This window comes from Homo sapiens, chromosome 5 (genome assembly GCF_000001405.40).
Source record: "Homo sapiens chromosome 5, GRCh38.p14 Primary Assembly".
Taxonomy (NCBI): domain Eukaryota; kingdom Metazoa; phylum Chordata; class Mammalia; order Primates; family Hominidae; genus Homo; species Homo sapiens.
Window position 1 is genome coordinate 153,697,789 of NC_000005.10, and position 21,532 is coordinate 153,719,320.

Consider the following 21,532-nt stretch of genomic DNA (forward strand, 5'->3'; position numbering starts at 1 on the left):
CCCTTATCCCTCAGAGGTGGCAATTTCCAAACTGAACCAATTATTGTGGGGATTTTCCCTGGGAGCAAAATTGGGGGCACCTGAAAAGCACTGTGCTTCTTATTATTTCTGTTTACCAATATTTTAGAGCTCGGTGTGTCCAATTCTTCATGAGCTCCTTACTTGCCTGTCTCTGGTATTGACTGGGTGACCCAGAGCAGGCCAGTTCAGAGGAGGCTGGCCCACCTGACACCTCCACTCTCTTCTCATTAACAGATTGGTTACTGGAATGAAGATGATAAGTTTGTCCCTGCAGCCACCGATGCCCAAGCTGGGGGCGATAATTCAAGTGTTCAGAACAGAACATACATCGTCACAACAATCCTAGTGAGTACTCAGTCCTTCATCAAGGTTACTTGGGATTCAAGCTAGGCCAGCACAAGGGTTTTCCACCAGGACTGAAAGCTGGCCTTTCTTCTTGCCAAAACTGTGTAATAGATAAAAGCAGCAAGTCGAAAAGGGAATGCCCTGAAAATGAGAGGCTCTGAGTTTTCACTCTGTATCTCTTAGTTTCACTGTCTCATCCTTTGTACCCTTGGGTAACTTACTTACTTTCTCTTGAGCCAGCTTTCCCATATTTAAAACATAAGAATGACACTAAATTGTGCTGGTTTTCATCTGTCCTCCCTCAGTAGAAGCTATTTTCAAAGAAAGTCCAATACATAAAGTAGCTGTAAGTGAAGATGCTGTAATTTTCAGTGACTGATCATGAGAAACCTGGAGCCTGTTTAGGGTCTATTTCTCCTTCAAGATGACCCCAGAGGTATTTCCAAAAAAAATACAAAATATCCTGGAACATAATTTGAAAAGCTGTATGCCATATCTCAGTGATAAAACATTCTTATTTTAACAAAGTTTGCTTCCTTAACACAAGAAGCTTGTAATGGGGTAGGGAGTGAAGACATTTAGGAAGTGAATTGAGGGGCTAGAGAGCCTTCCCCAGTGTTAACCAAACATGATATTATGCTATGCCAAAGTCCTCCCTACCCATGGGTGAACCCATAACCCACATTCTGCTATCTCCCCATTTCTCTTCCAGGAAGATCCTTATGTGATGCTCAAGAAGAACGCCAATCAGTTTGAGGGCAATGACCGTTACGAGGGCTACTGTGTAGAGCTGGCGGCAGAGATTGCCAAGCACGTGGGCTACTCCTACCGTCTGGAGATTGTCAGTGATGGAAAATACGGAGCCCGAGACCCTGACACGAAGGCCTGGAATGGCATGGTGGGAGAGCTGGTCTATGGAGTAAGTTCACTGCAGGGTGGGAAATTAGAGGGCGGAGGCAGAGGGTTTGACAGGAAATCATTTGGTGGTTGGGTGGCCCTGCCCACAGATGTCTATGAAACCCTGTAATTGAGTGTTGTTGCTGCTGAACAGATGAGTCATCCAAAATCCAATTTCTTCAGACACTCTTTGTTCAGGTTACTGGTCCCAGGTCCCTCAATCCCACTCAGAGTCTTGTGACGTCAGTTGATTGTCGTCCAACACAGGTGACAGCATAGCTCCAAGATCAATTTTCTTGAGGCAGACTGCTGAGTTGTCTATACAAAGTCACTTGTGGCTCTCTCAGTATCAGTTTCTTCTCTGATATTAAATGCATCTGGAGCCAACCTAACTTTCTAGTTACTTGCCTCTCTAGTTTCATGCTCTCTCATGAAATTTCCAATTCAGTCAAATGCCCCTTAATTACTCTGTTCCCTAGAGTGCTCCCTTCCACTCTCCACCCCTAAGATACTACTCCTTCAAAACCTATATCAAATAATACTTTTTTCAGGGTGTGTTTCTTTCTTTCTTCTCATAATAGGTATGAATGTGCCTTTTAATTGTTCTCGCCTTCCCCTATAGAATTTAGTTGCTGGTTTTTTTTAATGGTTTACCCTGCCTTATATAACGGTTACCTGTGTAACAGGGGTAGGACTATTCTATCTTTATAGTGCTCACCACACTTGAAATAACTCCATGCACAATTGCTATAAAATCTTCAATAAATTACAGCAGTTTTGAAAAGCTGCTGAATGTCCCACATTGTTTTAAGCATTTGGGGAATTATTGAGAAGCAAAAGATTTGATCTTTTGCTTAATACTTTATGAGGTAGAAAAGACCCCATCTTTTAACATTTTATGGGGTAGAAAAGACAATGTGAGAAAATAGTAAAAGGTAGTATAGAATAAGGAGTCTATATTGTATGGCTCAGCTAAGGGCTAACTAGAGTTTGTCTAGCCCTCAGTGGGGATGTGAAACTTGAAAAATGACCATATTTAAACAGACCGAGAGGCCGGGCACAGTGGCTCACGCCTATAATCCCAGCACCTTGGGAGGCCGAGGCAGGTGGATCACCTGAGGTCAGGAATTTGAGACTAGCCTGGCCAACATGGTGAAACCCCATCTCTACCAAAAATACAAAAATTAGCTGCACATGGTGGCGGGCACCTGTAATCCCAGCTCCTTGGGAGGCTGAGGCAGGAGAATCACTTGAACCAAGGAGATAGAGGTTGCAGTGAGCCAAGACCATGCCATCGCACTCCAGCCTGGGAGACAAGAGCGAAACTCTGTCTCAAAAATGATAATAAAAAACATATGAGAGAAAAGCAGCCCAGGAATTTTTAAAGTATAAACAATAGGATGGTGGTGGAAATAAGTAAGGTGTGAGAGGAGAATGAGAAAACGCATGGTTTTTGTTGAGGACTTGGGTTGAAGAGTAGTCAGGGATACATATGAGTAAAAAATAGCAAGAGGAAGAGTGTGGATGATTCAGTGGGCATTGGGAGATCACGAAGGTATTTGAGTAGAAAGACAACAAAAGGCAATGGAAGAAGCCTCCAGCTGCCTTGTGCAGGGAAGGGACCACCACGGCTTCACTCATAGAAACTAAAACACATGCCAAGCCCCAGGTCAATGTTAAGTGCTCATAAGGACAAGCAGCCACTGAGGAAGATGATAAATCTTGTTTCATATCAGGGCAAGAGGAGCCATGATGGCCCTGAGAGACATACAAAGGGAATTCAAAGAAGAAAAAGATGGAATAAAGGAAATCTTCCTCAGGGAGGTAGCTTTTGAGATGACATGTGAAGGTGGTTATTGAGTTGGGGAATGGGATGTGCTTCTCTCCTTTCTTATTCCCTTTACCACCTCTCACTTTGGGAAGCTCCATGGACAAAAGGTAGAGACCTGGATAGTACATGCTGCAGCTGGAGGCTGGTTTCCATGGGAACTCCCATCAAGCTCTTAAGGTCATCCCCATGGCAACTGCTGTGCACTTTTCACCTTCTCTAGCATTTATCTTCACCTTCACCTCATGTAATGTGGTTTGCTTGGTTAAAAGTCTGCAGTGTGGGCAGAACAATGCCAGGATCATCCCCAGTAGCCAACACAGCTGGTGGTGAGTCACTGGCACAGCAGGGCTCAGGCCAGCTGGAGTTACCTATGGGTGCCTCAGCAGCCAGGCCTGCCTCAGTAGCCTCCTCCTTATCAGGCCTGTTCCTCTGCCCAGTAAAAACTGTTCTGACCAGGTGCGGTGGCTCATGCCTGTAATCCCAGCACTTTGGGAGGCTGAGGCGGGTGGATCACGAGGTCAGGAGATCTAGACCATCCTGGCTAACACAGTGAAACCCCATCTCTACTAAGAATACAAAAAATTAGCCGGGCATGGTAGTGGGCGCCTGTAGTCCTAGGAATTCGGGAGCTGAGTAGTTAAGGCAGGAGAATGGCGTGAACCTGGGAGGCGGAGCTTGCAATGAGCCAAGATGGTGCCGCTGTACTCCAGCCTGGGCGACAAAGCGAGACCCGTCTCAAAAAAAAAAAAAAAAAAAAAAATACTATGTTCTGAAGACTCTGTGATGGCCCCAGTCGGATGCTCAGCCTTTCTTTTTAGTTTGGCTTTCCTTTTCTGTTCCCTTGGGGAAGAACCAAGTGATTTGGAGAAGCATCTCTCAACCACCAACCACCAGAGATCAAGAAAAATTCATTTGGAGGCTTCCAAATTTATTCTTTCTGTGGCTTTCTAAATAACTAAGTCGATCAGGCTCTCTCTTATCTTCCTTTTGCTCCCTCTTTTTCCGTCAATAATGATAGTAGTCACATTTCATCGTGTAGCGTGTGCCAGGTGCTATGTTGAATACTTTACTCACATTCTTTCATTTACTCTGCATATCGACTTCATGAGGTGGGTAAGATTACTGTTTACATTTTATAGATGAGGACACTGAGGCCCTCTAGGTTAGATAATTTGGCAAAGGAAACACAGCTAGTGAAAGCAGAGTCAGAACATGCAGCTCTGGCTTTTGTACTCCACACTGGGACATACTGCCTCTGTAGAAATCCCACCATCCAAATGCTAGGCGGTAAAACCAATATTAACTGAGAGAACAGCAAATGTCTGCATTTGCAGATGCCATATGCTGCAAATGAAGTTTCTGCTCCTCACATGGTATATCTTGGTGCCTCCTTCACAGCTGTCTTTACTGTCTGTCCTTTGTCTTGGTAAAGCAGAAAGAGAGTGAGCTTTGCAGACAGACACCTGGATTTGAGTTCCAACTCTGCCAACTTGCTGGCCCCGACTTTTCCGGGGCCACCCCTGTGAAACAAGGAACGTGAATTCTTTACCACAGGCTGTGATGGGGAATATTCATTTATGCAGGGCCTGGCTCAGAGCAGATCTCCATTTCTGATAGTTTTATTCACTTTATGCTTTTTTCTACCACATGAAAACTATATGCTGTTTTCCCAGGATAGTTTCTAGACATCACGTATTTTGTTTTGGGATCTGCTAGGTCAGTGATTCTAGAGGTGTGGTCTTTGGACCAATAGCATTAGCACCACCTGGGAACCTATTAGAAATGCAGATGTTCACATCTCACCCCAGGCCCACTGAATCTAGAAACTCTGGCGTGTGTGTCTTTAAAAGCCCTCCTGGTGATTCTGCTGCACACTCAAGTTTGAGAGCCATTGTCCTAAGATGTCAGTTTAAGAAAATAATTTTGACTGCTCACATTTCACAGTACTCTCATGTATTTTGAATTATCTTGACCCTCACAAAACAAGCCTGTGAAATTGGTGAAACAAGAATTATTATGCCTGCTTTTAAAATGAGGAAATTGACATCCAAAAAGACAACTGTTTCTTTTGAGGCTACACAATCAGCCAGTTGCAGAGAAGAGCAGCCCGGTCTGAGATCCGCTGTGCCCTCCACTACCCAGTGAAGCTCCAGTGAGAACCTCAGTTATTGGTGGTGGAAATCAACTTCTGAGGCCTCTCAGTCAATATTAACCAAGCTAAAATACTACTGCTTTTCACAAACCACCTTCCCTCTCTAGATATGAGTTTCTTATCTGTAAAATGAAGTAGTTGAACTTAGCATCTCCCAGTATGTGTGTATCTTACATACATGGGTACCTCTTGATGCTTAGGAAGATGAATGACCCATGGCCAAATAGTTTTGGAAATGCCACATTCTACTTACTCCTCTTGGAAATTCTCAGTGCATTGTGGTCATCTAAAGGTTCTGGGAAGTTCTGCCCCAAGCATGTTTATTTTTATGTTATTTTCATGTTATTAACCATCCTTCCAGAAATAATGTTCTATTGAACAAATTTTTGAACTACAAAATGAACTAAGCTTTAGGACAATACGGAACAGGCTGGGTATGGTGGCTCACACCTGTAATCCCAGCACTTTGGGAGGCTAAGGCAGGCAGATCACTTGAGGCCAGGAGTTTGAGACCAGCTTGGCCAACATGGCGAAACCTCTACTAAAAATACAAAAATTAGCTGGGCATTGTGGCACATCCCTGTAATCCCAGCTACTTAGGAGGCTGAGGCATGAGCATTGCTTGAACCCAGGAGACAGAGGTTGCAGAGCCAAGATCACACCACTGCACTCCAACCTGGGGAACAGGGCAAGACCCTGTCTCAAAAAAAGAAAAGGCAATATGGATCAATGATTTCCAGTCTATGATCTCTTATTAAATCACATTAGGAAGCATCCAACAAATCCATGCAATATCATTTACCCCTTTCAGAGCTGGTCTTCATCCACCTCCCTTCCGGATAACTTGTGGTCAATCCCTCCAAGTCATTTCCATTACTTGTCTCCCCCATTCTTTTTCTGTTGGTTTACAAACAAAAAAGTAAATACCTTCTCCCCTGTACTGTCTTGTATTTGTAAAAATTACCAAGATTTATGCAGTGGGTATTAGGGGAAAAAACAGAATTGCTATGAAATTTACACCTGACTTCACATTAATTAATGGAAAGTTTCTTTCTACAAGTGAAAACTTAATTCATCCTGAAGCCAGGCTTTCTATTCCACTTAAAGCACCTTCTCAATAATCCCAGACAATGAAAGTAACCAGAGGAAATCTCTAAGCAACAGCCAACTGGTGGGTGGTCAGCACCCTGACCTGCATAGCATCTGTCACCAGCTTCACTTCTGGGCTGTTGTACAGCATAAGAGAAAGCCATTTGCCTTGAACAGACCTGCATAGGCATGTCTCTCATCTCAGAAATGAATGCTATGGCATCTCTCCATGGAAATCCTCTTAGGTTTCCAGGATCTCTTGATCTCAGGCCAACAGGAGCAGTGGATTTCTGTTGAGTAGATGCCAGTGCTTCTGCCATTGGAGAGAGGTAGGAAAGACAGGAGAACAAGGCATGGTTGGTGATTCCATGTGCTGGGTGCCTAAGGATGAATATTTCTTGCAACCTTTTTATGTTTATCTGCATGCTGGATTTGAAATTTAAAAACTGTATTATATATGTATTTCTTAGACTTCTTCCTGAAGAAGAAAATGACTGCAATACTACTTTACCTTTTCATCACAGGCTATTATTCCCATGGTTCCCTCCTCCTGGAATGCTGTTCCATGCCAGAGCAACCTGTCAAAGTCCTACCCCTCTTTCAATGCCAACTTTATATGCCACCTCTTCCAAGATGCAGTCCCCTATCTCCGCAGCCAGAATGAATCCCTCCCTGGTCTCTGGCAGAACTCTGTATATCTTGGATAACACATACCCCTTCCACCTTGTAGATTGGAAAATTGTTTGTGTGTTTCAATGTCTCCTAATTTGTAATTTCCTGAGGGTGGGGACCATAGTCTACCTACAACTTTCAGCCTGCAGATTGCACATAGTAAGTGTTCAATAAATATCTATTGAGTTAAATTGACCTTTACTCAGGACTATCTTGGTTGCAGGAAAAAGAAACCCAATTCAAACTGACTTAGGCAAACTGACACATTGTCTCATGTTCTTGGATTCCTCTGTGTCAATACAGAGGGATGTATTGACACAGATTCTGAGGGAATCCAGGGTAAGCCCTGAATTTACAGTTGCCTGAATTATGACATAAGGGGTCATCCTCTGCATCTCTCAGGACTAATTCTCACTAAACCCATTTGAGTCCTATGTCATCCCTGAATGGATGATTCTGGCCAGGGTAGTGGGGTACATGGATTGACCGGGACCTGGGTCACCTGCTTCCCCATGTAGCCAGAGTGATCAGACCCATTCCAACCTGCAGGATTGAGAGTGGGGCAAGAATGGTTCTCCTGCCAGAGGAAGGGAGTGGGGCTGCTGAGCAGGCAAAAACAACAGATACCACAACAGCTTCCTTCTTGTAGTATGAGGAAGATGCCTCTAACATTTAGAACAGTCAAATAACTAGAAAATCTCTTGTAAGATATTGAGCTGACCATCCATTCATCAAAAATATTTTATAGAGTAGGAGGGGTTGGACTTCAAAGGTTCTTTCCCACTCTCATATCCTTTAAGACACAAAAGAATAGTCACAATGAGAAGAAAAACAAGAGAATGAAAAGGGCTGCTGAGCTCACCTGCATTTTTTTTTTTTTTTTTTTTTTTTTTTTTTTCAGAGAGCAGATGTGGCTGTGGCTCCCTTAACTATCACTTTGGTCCGGGAAGAAGTTATAGATTTCTCCAAACCATTTATGAGTTTGGGGATCTCCATCATGATTAAAAAACCACAGAAATCCAAGCCGGGTGTCTTCTCCTTCCTTGATCCTTTGGCTTATGAGATTTGGATGTGCATTGTTTTTGCCTACATTGGAGTGAGTGTTGTCCTCTTCCTGGTCAGCCGCTTCAGTCCCTATGAATGGCACAGTGAAGAGTTTGAGGAAGGACGGGACCAGACAACCAGTGACCAGTCCAATGAGTTTGGGATATTCAACAGTTTGTGGTTCTCCCTGGGAGCCTTCATGCAGCAAGGATGTGACATTTCTCCCAGGTCAGTCAGCTCTTCTCAATCCCTTTGCCTAATGCTATGGTTTTGTTTGTTTGTTTGTTTGTTTGTTTTTTAAATACTGAAAAGTAAAGAGATGAATTATTTCAGACCACTGTATTCAGTTTTTCAACTATTCTTTACAATCAACTGTCCATTGCACGCTGTGGATTATCTGGATCATCCTGTAGCTGGGCCATCTCTGTCTGCTCTCTGGGTTGATGTGCTCTGTCAAGGTTAATAGGCATAATTATGACTGATGCGTTGTAGCTGAAAGGTACAGAGGAAAGAAGGGAGCATTGTGTGGTACAACTAACACTTATGGAGCACCTACCAAATGCCAAGCAAGGTTCTGAGTCCTGTACATGCCTTATCTCATTGAGTCCTTACAGGAACATAAGGTGGTACTCCCATCATGTCTCTTTTTACAAATGAGGAACCACAGAAATGTTGAATATCTTGCCAATGTTACACAGCTAGTAGGCAAGTGAGTTGAGATTCAGAATGCTGTCCTTTCCTATTTCTGCATGGTGGGAAGAGCACTGGATTATGAGTAAGTTCTAGCACTGGTTCTAGCACATGGGCCCTTTATGCGGCTCTCAGAAAGTCACCTCACCCTAGTAGATGTTGGCGTCTTCATCTTAAAGAGAAAAAACTTCTCCTTTTCTTTGGTTCTGAGAAAGACTCTGGAAATAATCTAGTTCCAGTGATGATGGAAATTTGTTTCTTGTAATTAAAAAGTGGAATTTCAGGCCAGGCGTGGTGGCTCACGCCTGTAATCCTAGCACTTTGGGAGGCCAAGGCAGGTGGATTACTTGAGATCAGGAGTTCGAGACCAGCCTGGCCAACATGGTGAAACCCTGTCTCTACTAAAAATAAAAAATAATAAAACAATAATAATAATAAATTAGCTGGATGTGGTGGCAGGTGCCCGTAATTCCAGCTATTTCAGGAGGTTGAGGTAGGAGGGTCACTTGAACCCGGGAGGCAGAGGTTGCAGTGAGGCAAGATCATGCCACTGCACTCCAGCCTGGGTGACAGAGTGAGACTCTGTCTTTAAAAAAAAAGAAGAAAAAAATGGAATTTCTCAGAGGTGCCTCAGATATCACATTGAAAGCACACTCGGGTAACCAAATCAGTGGGATTTTAGCCCCCCACATGGAATCAGAATGGCTCCATTTTTGTCTGTTTTATATATTGGACTTGTGAACACAATTTATTTTGGGAAAAAAAAGTGACTGAAGCTAAGAAAAGAGAAAGGGTGGACAGGAGATGGGGGTGAGGAAGGTAGGAAACCTGCCAATCTAGACCAAGTCCACATTTACTGACCTCCTGTTCTTCTGACTACATTCTGGATGTGCATGCCACAATTCCCCACCAATTTGCCTGATAAATAAGCACTGACTCTATTTCCTTTTACAGTTGCTTAATGTCTATGAACTCTTTTTCCAGTAGGCACTCTCTTAGATTACCAAATTTCAAAAGCCTACAGGGAGTCATGGCTCAGAATTTGGCCTCCATGGACAGATCTGGAGGCATAAGTGCATAATATCAAGGTCTCATAGACATGTGCTGGAGGCATCTTTACCACCTATCTACGTTTTGCATTTCATTGTCAAGGAGGACCAATATTCCTAAGCGGCAATGGAGTAAATTCTTTCTAACAAGCTTCCCTCAGGACTTATTTGGCCTGCTGTATAACTTAGAAAGTCTCATCGTTCATTATAATCTTGTTTTTCTTTAAATAAGAAGACAGTGGGGGGTGGGGGGCGCGTGGGAGAGGAGGTGTGAGACTGGCTGCTTGGCCAATACTGGCAAACACATGGTGAAGAGTAGAGAGAACCAAGCAGGGGAAGGGCTTGCTTAAAAATAAATCAGGCCCGTGGATAAACAGTGGGAAGAAACAATTCCTAACTAGTCAGCATAATGTAGGGCCATCACAACATGCAGGTGTCAGAGAAGACCCATGAACTTGTTTTTTCTCCTTTATTTCCTTCATCAGTGAGCATCTCATCTTTTCACAGAACCTTTATGCTGTGATCTCAGGGTGTGTTTTCTTTCTCCCCACTATTCCTCCAGGGGTTTCAATCTTGTGGTCCATAAACTGAATCTTCTGTCAGACAGGTTTTTGTTTAATCTGTACAGAATTTGGCAATGGTTACCCAAAACTGAGTGGTAGCTTCCCTCTTGAACAGGTCCGCGCATTCACGGTTCACCCCAGCCCCAACCTGACCTTCTTTGTTCCTGTGTTACTCAGCTGGCCCCAGAGGGTGTTTGAGTTTGTGACCTCTGGCTGCAAGAGGATTTTCAAACTATGCTTTCCGGACTTCTGAGGGTTCCACTAGGGTATCATAGGAGTTGACATTGAGGTGAAGAGGAGACTGAACAACATATCCAGCCTCCCTCCTCCCTGATTTTCATAAAACAACTCTACTCTATGCCTCTTTTTCATTAATAAAATGGAAATAATAGTTTCTACCTCAAATCTTGTTGGAAAGTTTAGAAGTATGTATAGATCCTATAACACAGTACCCAGCCTTCACACAGGAAGCGCTATAACTGGATGCTTTTTTTATTATGTTAATTGATTTTTTTTAACTTGGATTTTGTCTAAACTTCACTGGAAGAAACGATGCCACTGTTCACACTGATTTGAAAGCCTAATACCTTCTTCTAGAGAAGTCCATTAACAAAGCAGAAATAGCCAGTGGTTTATGCCAGAGACCAGCCACATCTGGATTCCTAAGACTCCTCCTCATAGGAACTGGGAGGAAGGGTTGGTGACTTTGGCTGAAAGGTCTGACAGACACAAGAGTGAACTGCCAAAGGAAGTTAGAACTTTGATCCACTTGAGATGGACTTTTTTTAATCAAGCCAACCTTGGTTAACCCCAGAGTTTAGGAGCCTGTAAAATCTCCCTTGAGAGAGTGAGAATGTATTAAAATGTTTCTTGGAAATATATGTAGAAGAGAAGAGACATATACTTCATCTTACCTTGAACCAGACAAAAACACAAGGATGCTAAGACAATGATCAAAGTTAGAGACTAAGAAGACAATGAAAAACATCAGTAGAAACTTTTGTTGTCATTGTTGTTTATATATTTCCTGATGAAGTCAGTAAGTTTCATGACCTTCTGATATGCACAGCACTATGTTAGACACTCTGGGTGCTGCAGTAGAAGGGGCTTTTAAAGCTGACATTCATCAAACATCCTTCCAAATGAGCTTCAATTAACTGATCTTGCTGCTTATTTAAAGAAAATGTCATAAACCCTTCCTAATTTAGTATTTGGGGAAATCAATTTCATCTGAATTGCATATATCTGCACTTATCCACAAGTAGCTTTAACTCTTTCTAATCTCTTCAAAGTTGATGTTAATGTCTAGTAACCAAAACCAACAAAATGTGGCTAAGTGTAATTGTCTGCAAATAACATCAAAACCTGACCATAGTAATATGGTAAAGACAAAGATAACCCAGTAAAGAGGGTTATCTTTCTCACATATAAGAAAAGTGGTAGCAGGTAGTGGCTTGTGGTGAAATCCAGATTGGCCATTCTGTAAATTATCTTGGCCTTTTCTTCTTGTTCATAAGATGGCGGTTCCCAAATATTGTGTCCATGTTCAAACAGCATGAAGGAAAAAAAGTGTTGCCTTCTATTTCTGTCTTTTTGGATCAGAAGAACAAAAGCTTAACAAAATACTCTCCACCCCACACAGATGTCTGCTTCTTTCTCATTGGTCAGGACAGTGGCCATGATTATTTCTAGTGGCAAGAGAGGCTGAGAAGGCAAGAATTTAGGTTTTCCAACCTCTAGAGTAGGCAGGGTAGGAATCGATATTGGGGGAATCAACTGGCAGTATTGGCCACTGTGCCTAAAATCAATGTTTTCTGCACTGGCACCAGGAATAGATAGAAATAATCCAGAATTAGCACAGTCAATGGTGTATGCCAGCGAATGCTACTGAAATGCTTTAAAGACTCCTCCACCCACCCTTTGAAATGTATATTCAATAAATTGGTTTTGTATAACCCATTTTAACAGTGAAAGTTAAAAATCACTTCAGCTATGATCACAGATTACAATTTATTTTTTTAATTAGGTTGATGGTGAGATTAAAAAGGGACCCATGAATTTACTTTTAAGCCTGCTTCTTGTTCAAAAAAAAAAAAACAACTTTTTTTTTTAACTCAGTCACCCCAGCTGGAGTGTAGTGGTGCAATCTCAGCTCACTGCAGCCTTGACCTTCTGGGCTCAAGCCATCCTCCTACCTCAGCCTCCTGAGTAGCTGGGACTACAGGCACAAGCCTCCACACCCAGCTAATTTTTGTATTTTTTGTATAGTTGAGGTTTCCCTATGCTGCCCAAGCTGGTCTTGAACCCCTGAACCCAAGTGATCTGCCTACCTTGGCCTCCTGAAGTGCTGGGATTGCAGACATGAGCCACTGTGCCCAGCCCAAAGACCTATTTTTAATAGATATTTTAGATTTTGAGGAGTATGTTAAAGAAGGAATAAAAATCATCACAGACAAAACTTATCTTTAGTACCTTCAACTTTCATTTCTGATCCATTTCCCCATGTGTGTGGTCAAGATCATTCATTTATTCAACAGATATTGCTAACTGCCTACGACATGCAGGGTATGGTTCTAAGTGCTGAGGATATGAAGATATATTGGTGATGGAGTGTGGAGGGCAGGAGCCTTTGCTTCAAGGAGCTGGCAGTATAGAGATATGAGAGACATTAAACAAATTATCGTGAATGTGTAAGTTGGGATGTGCTATGAATAAAATGAACCTGCTGTTGCAATAGATAATACAAGAAGTGGAATTAAACAAGCCTTACTTAGAGTGTTCTGAGAAGGTTTCTCTGAGGAGCTGATGGGTAAGAATGAGCTAGACTTGTATAAAGCTAAGAGACATAAATAGCCATATGCAAAGGTTCTCAGGTGAAAAGGAGTTTACTGCTCTCAAGGACTGGAGGAGTGACAAGTATGTCTGGCTTACAGTGAATCAAGAGAACGGAGGTTTGAGATAAGATTGGAGGAAGAAGCAGAGGCCTGCGCAGGGCCCTGTGGTCACATTTTAAATTTGATGTTTTATTTTAAATGCAATGGAAGACCATTGGAGGGTTTTAAGCAAGGGAAGGATTGATTTGCATGCTAAAATACCACTCTGGGGAGCTATGAGGAAAATGAATTGCGGCAGAGAAGAGTCCAGAGTGGAAGCAGAGGGACCAAACAAGAGTCTCTCATAGCCATCCTGAGGAAATTACAGTGATGGAAATTAGAATGATGGTCATCGACATGGATTTATGGTTCACTCTGAGACTAGAATTGACAGGACTTGCTGATGGATTGGATCTATGAGGATGAGGAGGGGGAGGAATCAAGGGTGAGTCCAAGAGGGAGGAAGCATTTGGAAAACAGGGAACCACAGTTCCAGGGACTATTAGCTCTGGGCAGGATCAATAGGATGCTCTAGTCTACCCACCCCATGTTACACATGAGGAAACTGAGGCCAGAGAGGGAGGGAAAGACATTTTATCTAAGATCACCCAGGCGATACCTATGGCTGATTGGTGCCCAGTCCAATGCTACCCTACTGTGTAGTCTCAGCCCAAGGCTCCATTGCCTTCAAATGAACTGAGAGTGAGCTTCTTCAGCTTATTACACCCATGGCCCCACTTTCCCAATGGCTTCTCCATGGCATCAATATTTTCCTGGGTTCAGGTGACCTTAGTAAGAGAATGAGAGGAGGTTAGAGGGTGCTAGGAGAATGGAGGAAAATGGGAAATTATGACTTTAGCTTTCAGAATTCTCTCTTTTATTCTTGATCATAGACTGAATTGGAATGTGTAATAATTGTCTCCACCTAGTGGAGATAATTACTCTCAGGAGAAGAAGTCTAAGGCGGGGGGAGTGATGGTGCTTTGGAGGTCTCCTGGAGCCTGATATCATAACCTCCTCCCTCCACTAATTTATTTATTTATTTATTTTTTCCAAGACCGAGTCTTGCTCTGTTGCCCAGAGCTGGAGTGCAATGGCATGATCTCGGTTCACTGTAACCTCCACCTCCCGGGTTCAAGCAATTCTCATGCCTCAGCCTCCCCAGTAGCTGGCATTACAGGCGTGTGCCACCATGCCCAGCTAATTGTTGTATTTTTAGTAGAGATGGGGTTTCACCATGTTGGCCAGGCTGGTCTTGAACTCCTGACCTTGCGATCTGCCCACCTCAGACTCCCAAAGTGCTGGGATTACAGGCATGAGCCACTGTGCCCAGCCTTGTTGAGGGCCTTTTAACTGACTCACGGTAGGAAGATGGTGGCCAATGAGGACAGCCCAAGCCAATAACCAACGATAGCCTGACCTTTGCATTCACATACAAGTTTCATAGTAACCAGTATGCCTTTGGCACTGAGAGTCTATGAGAAACCTTCCTCTTTCCCCTCTTTCCCCCTCCTGCTCTCTGTCCTCCCATCCCAGCAAGAGCTGTGCAAACCCATTTCTCTTGCTCTTCTTGATGTCACTGTAGTATTGTGGGGAAGAGAAAGAGCCTGAGAGTAAATATTGAGGCAAGTTGATGAAGGCAGCCTGAAATTGTCAAACATTTCTCATTTTGAAAATGCAAACGTCATTTAGGCCACAGGTTCATTTCTACAAGGAACAGTGTCACAAGGATGTGTCAAAAATGATGAGCAGGAAATGTGCGATAGCTAATCTGGGTCTTGGGACTAGGCATGGGGGTTTCTGCTGGGACCCTCTGCGTCAGAATTACCTGGGATGTTTGTCCAAATGCAGGTTCTCAGACTTCATTTCAGCTCTCTAGAATTTGAAACTCTGCAGTTGGAGAGAAAGTTCTACATGTTTCACAAGCCTCCCCACCCACTTCTGCCCCAGGGCTGATGGGATTAAAGTTTGGAAGTCATTGAACTAGGGTGCTGCCCAGAGAAGTCAGCTTAAAAGTACAGAAAGCAAGGCCCATATGGCAGCTAGAAATGATGCTGAGTCAACATTGAGTTTGATATTGAGTCAAAAGCCGTAAACATGGAGCCCAGGGTCCGCCAGCTCACTACCCTATAGTATGTTACATGCTGGGTGAGCGAGGCCCTTGGCACAGGAGTGTTGACTGTGGCCTTCAAAGCAGGGGCCTGGCTGTCCTGATGACCCTGCCTTCTGCAGGCCAAGCCAGCAAGAGGAACTTACCAAGGGTTTCACCAGCATATTTCACCTTGACAGTTTTTTCCTCTCCATTAGCAAGCAACACCAACACAAAGGGACTGGCCCAGGTGAGGTGATTCTGCAGTCATGGCAGGTGTGAAGTGTGCATGGACTGTGTGGGGGTGGCCCCCATCATGGGAGATAGGGTGTGGAACTCCAGATCAGTGGCTCCTACTTTTTCCATTTTAATCTTCTGCTACCTGATGGTGAGACCCAGAACCAGGTTCTGCTACTGAGCAGTTTTACAGACCTTTGAGAAGAAGAGTAGAAGTTTCACAAGCTCCAAAGGCAGCATGGAAATGTTAAAATGAGTGCAGTGACAGGAGAATAAAAGCCTTCACTGGATATGCAAATGAAACCATCATTTTCTGTGTCTCAGCCTGCAGTTCTGGCCATCAGCAAGGGGGAAGCATAATTGCTGTCTCTAGATTGTTCTGGAAGTTTATACTTTGAACATTTTAATTGACGGAGAGATTTGTTTTCTCCAAAATTACAATAGGAAAATTTTCAGAAAGTTTTTCACAGAGCTGAAAGGGATATTGAGGACCAATTATTCATTTATTTATTCATTAAGTGTTTCTTTAGCAACTGTTATTTAACAAACATTGTTCAAGGTACTGTGAGAGACATCACAGAACATAGCAGACAAAAGCTCCTACTCTCCTGGAGCTTGCATTCCAGAGAGAAGAGGCAGGCAATAAATAAAATAAAAATGTGATTAACATGGCCATCCCAATTCGATAGGCGAGGATTCTGGGTGACAGGGAGAGGAAGGGACATAGCCAAAATCACACAGATAATTAGTGTAGGTTCAATAGCATAGGAGTGGAAGTCAGCCGGGGGCTGTGGTGAACGGCACATGCATGTGTCAGCTAGAGAGGATAGCTCCCCCTCGGCTCTGGATAGTCATTGCCATGGGAACTCCATGCAGACCAAACAAAAGCATGCCTAGATTCAGCTTGTACGCCACCAGTTTGAGAGCCCTAAAAGAATGGTGAGGAATAAAACAGCCACCGTATGTACTTACTGCATTTAGACACACTTGGAATATCGTATTTATATATACATTTTTAAGGGAATTTTTCTCCTTTTCCCCTCCATTTTTGATTCCAAGCATGAAATCTGATTGCTGTATTTTTCTTTCCTTTCATACACTTTGGAAAATCCAGACCATAAATGGTGGCTGCACTAAAAGAAAGATGGTCCCTAAATTCCTGTATCCAGAGAAACCTATTTATGGCTAGCTACATCTTCGTAGGTTCTGCATTTTCCCAGAGACGACCTCTTGTTTTTCTTTTAAACCCTCACTGGATATATGGCATCTGTGACCAAGAAACCCAGTTGTTCACCTGCAAAGAAGTATTGAGCTCTAGACAGAAAAAAATGAAAGCATAACTAATTGAATTGACGAGGAAAGTATGCTGAAACCCCTATGGGGAGCCTGATGGTTTTGAATATGAGTTAGGTACCACCATCCAACCGTGGTGAATGAATCATTTTTGCTACACCACTTACATATGCTTTTACCTCTAGCTATGTCCAACGGAGATAATAGGTGAATTAAGTCCAAGACACCCAGCAGAAAATAAATGGTGTCAAGAACACTAATAGAAACCACAAACCTAGCTGATGACAGTCACTGTTTGCATCTAGTGGCTGAAGGAGAAACGGCCTCAAAATAAGGAGGCATATTGCCTGCTAAAGCAGAGTGGAGTCCCACCCAAAGGCAGAAGTAGGACCAGCTGTTGTCACAAGGGATGGAGGAGGTGGTAAAGGAATTTAAAAAGAAGCTCAATCTCAGCTACTACTAACCCACTGGATGAGTCACTTTCTCTCTGTGTGTCTCACTTTTTCCTCTGCAAAATGGAAGTAAGATGGTCTCTAGTATGTCCCTAGCTCCCCACCTAAGGCTCACCTCCTTATGATTCCCAGCTTAGCCAAGGCTCCAACCAAGCCAAGTTGTGCTTCATTCTGTCTCCCAGCTCCATGCTCCCATTATGCCTTTATTGTTCCCTCTGCTTGGAGTGACTTTTCCCACCTTTCCTGCTCAACTCCTTCCCCATTTGCAAATGTTGCCTTCTCACTCTCCCCCAACCAACTCCAATTACTCCTCTGAATCTGTGATTTATAGTCATAGTTATAAGCTTGAACTCTGCAGCAGGGCCGGCTGGGATTGAATTCTGACTCTACTACCTACTAGCTGTGTGAGCTTTAGAAAATAACTTTCCTACATCCAGTTTCCACTTCTGGAAAACAGGAAAAATAATAAGACCTACCTCAAATGAGATATTTTGAGGATTAAATGATGAGATTCATGGAAAACATTTGCCTTGCACGGGGGTGACACACTGTAAATGCTGTTGTTATTGCTGCTGTTGCCATTGTTGCTGTCACCTACACCTCTCTGAGGGCATCTTAAATCTTCAACCCTGCACTATAGTTACCATGTCTGTTTCTTATTGAGACTGGTAGACTCATTTCTACAACTTATTCAAAACCTGACATGAGGGGTTGTATGTTCTAAATACTCAACATATGTTTGTTGAATGTCCATCTTCACAATAGCTAAGGACTCTGTCCTGTTTTTCATTTAATCAAGAGAAAATCGGCTAATAGGGAGAATTTCCAGCTGTCACTAACTACCTGTGTAACACAGGGCAACTCAGTCCTGGTCCCTGAATGGATTTGGAGAAGAAGTGGGAAGAATTGGAGATAAAGAAATAAAAGGAACCAGAAAATAAAGTTACCTTGTCATCCTAATGTTGCCAGCTACCCCACTATTCAGGAAAGCTCTGATCTCTTTGCTGGAAAAATAGTAGCAAAAATTTCTTTCTTTCATGTGTTGTACCTACTATGTGTCAGGCACTCTGACAAGTGTTAGATCATGTTACTGCTAATCTTCTTGAAAACTCTGCCTGGTATATCAACACCATTTTGTGATGAGAAAACTGGGGCTCAGAGAAATTAATTCACTTGCATGTGGGTACCCAGCAGGGCTGAGATTATAACCTGTGTCAGTCTGATTCTAATACCCATGATTTATCCTTGACACACAGCTGTCTTCCAAGACCAACAATCTTCTGAAGGTCCCTTAGGGCTCCCCAGGGATTGTTATAATTTTTTAAAAAGTGGGAGACATCCTTTTTCCTTTATAGGATTCCCTAACTCTGGTTTTTTTAATGGGCCTTGCTTTGAATTTTTATTCAATTTTTATTATTCCTAAGAGTATCTTTGTCTTTAAGAGCCATCTCCTGAGGGAGCAGAGGCGAGCACCCAGGAGAACATTTTGCCCCCACCAAGATCAGGTGCAGCCTGCTCAGCTGGAGTGAGGGAGATGGTGAGACAGAAATATGAGCAAAAATGTAACTGGTGCCACTTTGGAAAGTCAGCTTCAGCTGGGAAGGGACTGTGGGACATTCCATAGTCACAGCCAAAGCTGGAGAGGGCATGTTGTTAACTGTAGCACTTTAAGTAGGAAGGATAAATGGGGAGAAAATGAGGAAATAGAGTCAGAAGTGACCTTAAAATTGTGACTGTGAGAGAGATCTGGAATCTATTTATCCTATGGGTAAATTCCATTTGTCCTATAGAAATGATCGTGCAAATGTGATAAGATGTGTGCGTAAGGACATTCGTTTCACTGTTTTAAAAAGCAGGAGATGGCTTAGTGTCCATCAGTAGAAAGCTGGTGAAAGAAATGCCAGCCCATCATGCCAAAGGAACAGGAAGCGGCTGTTGAGGAGGATGAACAATAATGGTTGTGCTACGACCTAGAGATCTTCAGGGTCACAGAACTGGGAAGTCGTGGGTTATGGTCTTGCTGATCCAAATTACAGGCTCTTTTCACTGCCACATGCTGCCTCCCTGGAACACAGGAACTAGGGAAATGTATAACCAAGGGTTGCACAAAACCCTTTGTTACACGTACTTCATAGAATCAGTGCTAGAGTTCTTCTACGAAAGGAAAAATTCGTGTGGGCTAAGGTGAACAGAGACTTCTGGGAAGCAATGAATGGTGCCTTGAAAGATGAAATAAGATTTTTCCACAGAAGCAAAGAGAAATGAGGAGGGAATCCCTGCTGGAGGATGATCGTGAGCAAGCGCACTAAGGTGGATAGGGAGACACGTAAGGGAGGGAGCCAATACCAATGAATACCTAGAAAGAATCTTGATTGACAGGTACCATAGCTCAGCAAGGTGGGTTGAGCCATGCTACCTGTCAATCAAGATCCTTCCTAGGTATTCATTGGCAAGGGCTCAGAGTTCACCAAGTTTAATGATAAACCCAATACCATGACTTTTGGGGCCCTGTACCCTGCTATGAGGCTATTAAAGTGTCACCTTAGAAACACACAGAGTGTAAAATAGGTAATGTTGGACCACTTCTTCAGCTGCCATCAGGAAGAGCTCTAGGAAGTAGCTCTCAACTTCCTGTGGAGCACCTTTGTTGATTGGTGTTAAGACTTAGTCCACCATGCATGGAACTTTGCCAGCCACATTCTAACTTCTGGGATTCAAAGGGTCCTGGCTGGGCACTTGGGGGAACCCACTGGCCACCGCTGCTGCCAGGTTATTATTTATCTTTATCTCCTGAGCAGCAGGTAGAAGAGGCTGTTAGAAAAATGTCTTCCTGGCTGGGGACCCCCCTGAGATTCATTTTCTCTTTCACGTCTCATTTTGGGAATGGAAAAAAAATCAATAGAGAGGGAGTTTGCTTTATTTTGGTTCTGGCTATTGCAGACATGTATTTCTACAGATACAAGAAAGGAGTCATCACTCCGATGTTTTAAATTGAGCACCACCTGGGATCTAAACCTTGCATTAGGCACAAGGCTAACTAAGCATTATGGCAGATTTAAAGAAGCAAGAAGTGAGTTCAGACCTCTAAGTTTGCGACACAGTAGAAGAACCAAGGTATTCAAGGAGAAAAATAGATAATAAAGCAGAACATGCTTTTGAATAATTCCCAAAAGTGGGGTTAATAGTCAATAGGTAAAGAAGAGAGAAAGATCACTGAGGACTAAAATGATCTGGGCTGGCTTATGGAAAAGGAGAAACTTGGGCTGGTCCCAAGGGATTAAGCAAGACTTATAGGAGGAATTACAGGTAAGACAAAGGGGTCGGCGGGGCGAGTCAAGCAAAGAAGGGGAGATGACTGTGTTTTGAGGCCAAGGATCCCATTATTCAGACAAACCTGGGTTTGGATCCTAGCTCCAGCAGCTACTAAGCTTTCAGACTTGAACCAGTAGGTTAACCATTGAGTCTCAGTTTCCTCAAATTTGAAAAAAGGTCCATTCATACCAATATCACAGAATCATTATGAGAATACATGAGCAAACAGAGACCTAGTACCTAGCACATACCAGAGCCTCAAAAATCTTGATTTTCTTTCCCTTCCATTATGTTAATCACCTCACTTCCTTCCCACCCTATCCCTGGTCCCCCACCAATCATTTATTCCCTGCTAAGAGCTTTCTGAGACTCACTGACAGGCATCTCCTTATCTGGCTGTGCTGCTGGCCCACCTCTGGCCAGAGGAAAGTCCAGAGGCTATTTCCAGCAGGAGGAGGAAGGCTGCCAGATGCAGTGTTATGACTGGAGGATATTGGCAGCATCACTCATCCCATCCCAGTGTTATTTCTCAGCTCAGTTATTGGATAGGAACTGAATCCACACACCTGCCCACTTTGCTAGTGTTACTCATTTCTCTGGCAGTGACCCTTCCCTGCCAAACCAGACTGTCCACAAGTCCGTTCCTGCTCTCCTGAGCACCTGGTTTTGTTTCTTTGAGGTCAGCATTAGGTTCATTTTTCTTTACATCTCAAGAGTGATGGATATTGGCTTTGCAGGAATTGTAAATATGCAGGGCTTTCTCAACAGAGCAGCTAAGAGCGTGGGCTCTGGAGTTAGGCCTGGGCTTAGTTCTGCCTCTTACACTAATTTTCTTTGTGATTCTGGGCAACTAGGTTTTCGTGTCAGAGCCTCTACCACTATTGCTGTATAACAAACCACTCCAAACTCATGACAAAAAATAA

General features: G+C 43.2%; 1 protein-coding gene across 14 annotated transcripts in view; it reads left to right on the top strand.

Annotated features, from left to right (window-relative positions):
- Positions 1–21,532, top strand: part of GRIA1 (glutamate ionotropic receptor AMPA type subunit 1) — a 324,255-nt gene that overhangs the window by 208,174 nt on the left and 94,549 nt on the right. For all 14 annotated transcript variants that reach the window (NR_157093.2, NR_047578.2, XM_047417128.1 and 11 more), the window contains 3 exons: positions 256–366; positions 1,079–1,285; positions 7,909–8,279. Coding sequence is in view for 12 of the 14 variants with exons in the window: in XM_047417128.1 (XP_047273084.1) it covers positions 256–366; positions 1,079–1,285; positions 7,909–8,279 (689 nt within the window). In the remaining 2 variants the exon portion in view is untranslated. The remainder of the gene's footprint in view (positions 1–255; positions 367–1,078; positions 1,286–7,908; positions 8,280–21,532) is intronic.